The 8,774-nt window shown below is 40.0% G+C and overlaps 1 annotated feature.

The window, feature by feature from the left end:
* Window positions 1,332-1,832: an enhancer, noted in NCBI's record as "H3K4me1 hESC enhancer chr8:82243330-82243830 (GRCh37/hg19 assembly coordinates)". NCBI's record gives its function as "activates a minimal SCP1, AML or CMV promoter by ChIP-STARR-seq in naive H9 embryonic stem cells {active_cell/tissue: H9 hESC(naive)}" and the evidence as "EXISTENCE:reporter gene assay evidence [ECO:0000049][PMID:30033119]".

The raw sequence follows: 8,774 nt of genomic DNA, 5'->3' as shown, positions 1-8,774 counted from the left end.
AATTCTTGCTATTCTGATGGGATTTACTGTTGTCTCTTTATAGGTGCAATTTGCATTCCCTTGATTCTAGTCACACACACAAAAATAAAAGTCATACCATCGTTCATTATTTAGACTCAAGAATCTATAAAGAGATGAACTGCACCAAAAGAAGCTCAAAACATTTCAACACTCCGCTCAAAATGAAAACATCCATTTGACTCTTCATGTGCATAGGAGACTAAGTGTGTAACTGAGGAATTCTTCAAATAGCTCCTACATAGAATTTAATGTTTGTGAAAGGATAAATTATAAAAAATAAAAATATGCTAATTTGAAGCTTACGTATATACTTAAAATACAGTAGTAACCACAACAACAATTGTTTAGAATCCAAACCAACAAACGATCTTTATTCACAGGGAAGGATATTTTATCACTAACATGGTTTAAATTGCCTGCATGTGGTAATAATCAAAAGCAGACCACCTAGCCTATTTTATTATTGTTTTTAAATGCTCTACAGAAAAAAAAACACCATTTGGTTGCCTATACCCAGAATAGATCACTCTCACTGCCCTATCACTGTTTGCCACTAACAGGATTTTATGCCTATTTAGGGATGATAATATGTTAAAAGTTTAAGGTTTGCCATTGTTTTATCTTTGTGTTACTGTACACTGATTAGTATTAATTGTTTCTATTAATATTTACTAAACCAAGCATTAAGTTGCAAATCATATGTTCTCTGTGTTTTCTTTGTGTTAGTTCATCTTTCCATAAAATTTGCTAAAGTTGAGCCATAGTTTATTCAACTCTGTATTTCTTCTGTTGCAATACTCAACACTGCTCTAATTGTTCAGCATCTGTTTTGTTCACTTCTGTAACCTCAGTGCTTAACACAACGACTGGCACATGATAAGTGCTCAGCAAATATTTGGTGAATGCATGGTTTCCTAAGGTAAGGGAGTGAGGCCCTTGTTTTGCTTTGTTTTCATATTCTCCCACTGAATAATTGTGCTCTCTGAGAAGAATATGATTATGGTAAATGAAAAGAACTCTATTAAGGGGGAGGAGCCAAGATGGCCGAATAGGAACAGCTCCGGTCTACAGCTCCCAGCGTGAGCGATGCAGAAGACCGGTGATTTCTGCATTTCCATCTGAGGTACCAGGTTCATCTCATTAGGGAGTGCCAGACAGTGGGCGCAGGTCAGTGGGTGTGCGCACCGTGCGCGAGCAGAAGCAGGGCGAGGCATTGCCTCACTCGGGAAGTGCAAGGGGTCAGGGAGTTCCCTTTCCTAGTCAAAGAAACGGGTGACAGACGGCACCTGGAGAATCGGGTCACTCCCACCCGAATACTGCGCTTTTCCGACGGGCTTAAAAAATGGTGCACCACGAGATTATATCCCGCACCTGGCTCGGAGGGTCCTACGCCCACGGAGTCTACTGATTGCTAGCACAGCAGTCTGAGATCAAACTGCAAGGTGGCAGCGAGGCTGGGGGAGGGGTGCCCGCCATTGCCCAGGCTTGCTTAGGTAAACAAAGCAGCTGGGAAGCTCCAACTGGATGGAGCCCACCACAGCTCAAGGAGGCCTGCCTGCTTCTGTAGGCTCCACCTCTGGGGGCAGGGCACAGACAAACAAAAAGACAGCAGTAACCTCTGCAGACTTAAATGTCCCTGTCTGACAGCTTTGAAGAGAGCAGTGGTTCTCCCAGCATGCAGCTGGAGATCTGAGAACGGGCAGACTGCCTCCTCAAGTGGGTCCCTGACCCCTGACCCCCGAGCAGCCTAACTGGGAGGCACCCCCCAGCAGGGACAGACTGACACCTCACACGGCCAGGTACTCCAACACACCTGCAGCTGAGGGTCCTGTCTGTTAGAAGGAAAACTAACAAACAGAAAGTACATCCACACCAAAAACCCATCTGTACATCACCATCATCAAAGACCAAAAGCAGATAAAGCTACAAAGATGGGGAAAAAACACAGCAGAAAAACTGGAAACTCTAAAAAGCAGAACGCCTCTCCTCCTCCAAAGGAACACAGTTCCTCACCAGCAATGGAACAAAGCTGAATGGAGAATGACTTTGACGAGCTGAGAGAAGAAGGCTTCAGATGATCAAATTACTCTGAGCTACGGGAGGACATTCAAACCAAAGGTAAAGAAGTTGAAAACTTTGAAAAAAATTTAGAAGAATGTATAACTAGAATAACCAATACAGAGAAGTGCTTAAAGGAGCTGATGGAGCTGAAAACCAAGGCTCAAGAACTATGTGAAGAATGCAGAAGCCTCAGGAGCCGACACGATCAACTGGAAGAAAGGGTATCAGCGATGGAAGATGAAATGAATGAAATGAAGCGAGAAGGGAAGTTTAGAGAAAAAAGAATAAAAAGAAACGAGCAAAGCCTCCAAGAAATATGGGACTATGTGAAAAGACCAAATCTACGTCTGATTGGTGTACCTGAAAGTGATGGGGAGAATGGAACCAAGTTGGAAAACACTGCAGGATATTATCCAGGAGAACTTCCCCAATCTAGCAAGGCAGGCCAACGTTCAGATTCAGGAAATACAGAGAACGCCACAAAGATACTCCTCGAGAAGAGCAACTCCAAGACACATAATTGTCAGATTCACCAAAGTTGAAATGAAGGAAAAAATGTTAAGGGCAGCCAGAGAGAAAGGTCGGGTTACCCTCAAAGGGAAGCCCATCAGACTAACAGCGGATCTCTCGGCAGAAACTCTACAAGCCAGAAGAGAGTGGGGGCCAATATTCAACATTCTTAAAGAAAAGAATTTGCAACCCAGAATTTCATATCCAGCCAAACTAAGCTTCATAAGTGAAGGAGAAATAAAATACTTTACAGACAAGCAAATGCTGAGAGATTTTGTCACCACCAGGCCTGCCCTAAAAGAGCTCCTGAAGGAAGTGCTAAACATGGAAAGGAACAACCGGTACCAGCCGCTGCAAAATCATGCCAAAATGTAAAGGCCATCGAGACTAGGAAGAAACTGCATGAACTAACGAGCAAAATAACCAGCTAACATCATAATGACAGAATCAAATTCACACATAACAATACTAACTTTAAATGTAAATGGACTAAATGCTCCAATTAAAAGACACAGACTGGCAAATTGGATAAAGAGTCAAGACCCATCAGTATGCTGTATTCAGGAATCCCATCTCACGTGCAGAGACACACATAGGCTCAAAATAAAAGGATGGAGGAAGATCTACCAAGCAAACGGAAAACAAAAAAAAGCAGGGGTTGCAATCCTAGTCTCTGATGAAACAGACTTTAAACCAACAAAGATCAAAAGAGACAAAGAAGGCCATTACATAATGGTAAAGGGATCAATTCAACAAGAAGAGCTAACTATCCTAAATATATATGCACCCAATACAGGAGCACCAAGATTCATAAAGCAATTCCTGAGTGACCTACAAAGAGACTTAGACTCCCACACATTAATAATGGAAGACTTTAACACCCCACTGTCAACATTAGACAGATCAACGAGACAGAAAGTCAACAAGGATACCCAGGAATTGAACTCAGCTCTGCACCAAGCGGACCTAATAGACATCTACAGAACTCTCCACCCCAAATCAACAGAATATACATTTTTTTCAGCACCACACCACACCTATTCCAAAATTGACCACATACTTGGAAGTAAAGCTCTCCTCAGCAAATGTAAAAGAACAGAAATTATAACAAACTATCTCTCAGACCACAGTGCAATCAAACTAGAACTCAGGATTAAGAATCTCACTCAAAACTGCTCAACTACATGGAAACTGAACAACTTGCTCCTGAATGACTACTGGGTACATAATGAAATGAAGGAAGAAATAAAGATGTTCTTTGAAACCAACGAGAACAAAGACACAACATACCAGAATCTCTGGGACACATTCAAAGCAGTGTGTAGAGGGAAATTTATAGCACTAAATGCCCACAAGAGAAAGCAGGAAAGATCCAAAATTGACACCCTAACATCACAATTAAAAGAACTAGAAAAGCAAGAGCAAACACATTCAAAAGTTAGCAGAAGGCAAGAAATAACTAAAATCAGAGCAGAACTGAAGGAAATAGAGACACAAAAAACCCTTCAAAAAATTAATGAATCCAAGAGCTGGTTTTTTGAAAGGATCAACAAAATTGATAGACCGCTAGCAAGACTAATAAAGAAAAAAAGAGAGAAGAATCAAATAGACGCAATAAAAAATGATAAAGGGGATATCACCACCGATCCCACAGAAATACAAACTACCATCAGAGAATACTACAAACACCTCTATGTAAATAAACTAGAAAATCTAGAAGAAATGGATAAATTCCTTGACACATACACCCTCCCAAGACTAAACCAGGAAGAAGTTGAATCTCTGAATAGACCAATAACAGGAGCTGAAATTGTGGCAATAATCAATAGCTTACCAACCAAAAAGAGTCCAGGACCAGATGGATTCACAGCTGAATTCTACCAGAGGTACAAGGAGGAACTGGTACCATTCCTTCTGAAACTATTCCAATCAATAGAAAAAGAGGGAATCCTCCCTAACTCATTTTATGAGGTCAGCATCATCCTGATACCAAAGCCGGGCAGAGACACACAAAAAAAGAGAATTTTAGACCAATATCCTTGATGAACATTGATGCAAAAATCCTCAATAAAATACTGGCAAATCGAATCCAGCAGCACATCAAAAAGCTTATCCACCATGATCAAGTGGGCTTCATCCCTGGGATGCAAGGCTGGTTCAATATACGCAAATCAATAAATGTAATCCAGCATATAAACAGAACCAAAGACAAAAACCACATGATTATCTCAATAGATGCAGAAAAGGCCTTTGACAAAGTACAACAACCCTTCATGCTAAAAACTCTCAATAAATTAGGTATTGATGGGATGTATCTCAAAATAATAAGAGCTATCTATGACAAACCCACAGCCAATATCATACTGAATGGGCAAAAACTGGAAGCATTCCCTTTGAAAACTGGCACAAGACAGGGATGCCCTCTCTCACCACTCCTATTCAACATAGTGTTGGAAGTTCTGGCCAGGGCAATCAGGCAGGAGAAGGAAATAAAGGGTATTCAATTAGGAAAAGAGGAAGTCAAATTGTCCCTGTTTGCAGATGACATGATTGTATATCTAGAAAACCCCATCATCTCAGCCCAAAATCTCCTTAAGCTGATAAGCAACTTCAGCAAAGTCTCAGGATACAAAATCAATGTGCAAAAATCACAAGCATTCTTATACACCAACAACAGACAAACAGAGAGCCAAATCATGAGTGAACTCCCATTCACAATTGCTTCAAAGAGAATAAAATACCTAGGAATCCAACTTACAAGGGATGTGAAGGACCTCTTCAAGGAGAACTACAAACCACCGCTCAAGGAAATAAAGGAGGATACAAACAAATGGAAGAACATTCCATGCTCATGGGTAGGAAGAATCAATATCGTGAAAATGGCCATACTGCCCAAGGTAATTTACAGATTCAATGCCATCCCCATCAAGCTACCAATACTTTTCTTCACAGAACTGGAAAAAACTACTTTAAAGTTCATATGGAACCAAAAAAAGAGCCCACATCACCAAGTCAATCCTAAGCCAAAAGAACAAAGCTGGAGGCATCACACTACCTGACTTCAAACTATGCTACAAGGCTATAGTAACCAAAACAGCATGGTACTGGTACCAAAACAGAGATATAGATAAATGGAACAGAACAGAGCCCTCAGAAATAAAGCCGCATATCTACAACTATCTGATCTTTGACAAACCTGAGAAAAACAAGCAATGGGGAAAGGATTCCCTATTTAATAAATGGTGCTGGGAAAACTGCCTAGCCATATGTAGAAAGCTGAAACTGGATCCCTTCCTTACACCTTATACAAAAATCAATTCAAGATGGATTAAAGACTTAAACGTTAGACCTAAAACCATAAAAACCCTAGAAGAAAACCTAGGCATTACCATTCAGGACATAGACATGGGCAAGGACTTCATGTCTAAAACACCAAAAGCAATGGCAACAAAAGCCAAAATTGACAAATGGGATCTAATTAAACTAAAGAGCTTCTGCACAGCAAAAGTAACTACCATCAGAATGAACAGGAAACCTACAAAATGGAAGAAAATTTTCGCAACCTACTCATCTGACGAAGGGCTAATATCCAGAATCTACAATGAACTCCAACAAATTTACAAGAAAAAAACAAACAACCCCATCAAAAAGTGGGCGAAGGACATGAACAGACACTTCTCAAAAGAAGACATTTATGCAGCCAAAAAACACATGAAAAAATGCTCACTATCACTGGCCATCAGAGAAATGCAAATCAAAACCACAATGAGATACCATCTCACACCAGTTAGAATGGCAGTCATTAAAAAGTCAGGAAACAACAGGTGCTGGAGAGGATGTGGAAAAATAGGAACACTTTTACACTGTTGGTGGGACTGTAAACTAGTTCAACCATAGTGGAAGTCAGTGTGGCGATTCCTCAGGGATCTAGAACTGGAAATACCATTTGACCCAGCCATCCCATTACTGGGTATATACCCAAAGGACTATAAATCATGCAGCTATAAAGACACATGCACACGTATGTTTATTGTGGCATTATTCACAATAGCAAAGACTTGGAACCAACCCAAATGTCCAACAATGATAGACTGGATTAAGAAAATGTGGCACATATACACCATGGAATACTATGCAGCCATAAAAAATGGTGAGTTCATGTCCTTTGTAGGGACATGGATGAAATTGGAAATCATGATTCTCAGTAAACTATCGTAAGAACAAAAAACCAAACACCGCATATTCTCACTCATAGGTGGGAATTGAACAATGAGAACTCATGGACACAGGAAGGGGAACATCACACTCTGGGGACTGTTGTGGGGTGGGGGGAGGGGGGAGGGATGGCATTGGGAGATATACCTAATGCTAGATGACGAGTTAGTGGGTGCAGCGCACCAGCAAGGCACATATATACATATGTAACTAACCTGCACATTGTGCACATGTACCCTAAAACTTAAAGTATAATAATAATAAATTAAAAAAAAAAGCTTGGTTCTCATATGTCTACAGCCAACTGATCTTTGACAAAGTTGACAAAAACATACACTGGGGAAAAGACATCTTTTTCAATAAACGGTGCTGGGAAAATTGGATTGCCATATGCCGAAGAATAAAACTGGACTCCTATCTCTCATCATATGCAAAAATCAACTCAAGATGGATGAAAGACTTGAATGTAAAACCTGAAACTATAAAAATACTAAAGGAAAATGTAGGGAAATTTCTTCTGGATGTTCTAGGAAATAATTCATGACTAAAACCTCAAAAGCACAAGCAACAAAAACAAAAATAACAAATGGGACTTAATTAAACTAAAAAGCCTCTGTACAGTAAAAGAAATAATCAAAAGAGTGAACAGACAACCTACAGAATAGGAGAAAGTATTTGCAAAGTATGCAACCAACGGGGACTAACATCCAGAATTTACAAGGAACTCAGATAACTCAGCAACAACAACAAAAACAACAACTCCATTAAAAAGTGGGTAAGGGATGTGAACAGACATTTATCAAAAGAAGACATACAAATGGCTAGCACACATATGAAAAAATGTTGAAAATCACAAATCATCAGAGAAATGCAAATTAAAACCACAATGAGGTATCATCTTATACCAGTCAGAATGGCTATTACTAAAAAGTCAAAAGACAACAGATGTTGTCATGGATAGGGAGAACAGGGAATGCTGATATACTGTTAGTGGGAATGTAAATTAGTACAACCCCGAGAGAAAACAGTATGGAGATTTCTCAAAGAACTAAAAATGGAACTACCATTTGACTCAGCAATCCCACTATTGGGTATCTACCCAAAGGAAAACAAATTATTATATCAAAAAGATACCTGCACTCATATGTTTATCACAGCACTATTCACAATAGCAAAGATATGAAATCAACCTAAATGTCCATCAATGGATGATTGAATAAGGAAAATGTGGTATATGTACACAATGGAATACTATTCAGCCATTAAAAAAATGAAACCATGTCTTTTTCAGTAACATGGATGGAACTGGAGGCCAACACTTTAAATGAAACAACTCATAAACAGAAAGTCAAATACCACATATTCTCACTTTTAAGTGGGAGCTAAATAATGTGTACACATGGACATAGAGTATAGAATGACAAGCACTGGATCCTCAGAAGGGTGGGAGGGTGAAAGAAGGGTGGGTGATAAGAAATTATTTCGTGGGTACAATGTACATTATTCCAGTGACGGACACACTAAAAGCCCAGACTTCTCCACTGTACAACCTAGCCATGTAACAAAATTGCACTCATACCCCTTAAATTTATACAAATCTTAGAAATGCTTGGCTGTGGGAACTCTGTGGAACTAGATGGTCTAAGGGAATTCAGGAGCATCGTAGTCTGTGGGCAGTGGAGAATGGACATATCAAGGGACCACCGAGAAACTGGAATTGTACAGATACCTGCAAAAGGCAGAGGCAGCAACCAGAGCAAACAGATGGCAAGTGCAACGGACCTGGGGGCAAAAGTGCTGTGTAAATATGGACAATGGTTTTAATCTCCCATCTCTCTACCCCACTTCCAGGCTAGGATCCCTAGATGACTTGGGCAATAATGATCACATCTCCTGTCTTCTCTGAGAAATATTACCATTAATAATGCTTGAGGTGAGGCCTGAAGGATGAGTAAAAGTTATCTACG

Source organism: Homo sapiens, chromosome 8 (genome assembly GCF_000001405.40).
Source record: "Homo sapiens chromosome 8, GRCh38.p14 Primary Assembly".
NCBI lineage: Eukaryota > Metazoa > Chordata > Mammalia > Primates > Hominidae > Homo > Homo sapiens.
Note: the sequence above shows the minus strand (reverse complement) of the source record. Positions and strands in the feature narration are given on the sequence as shown.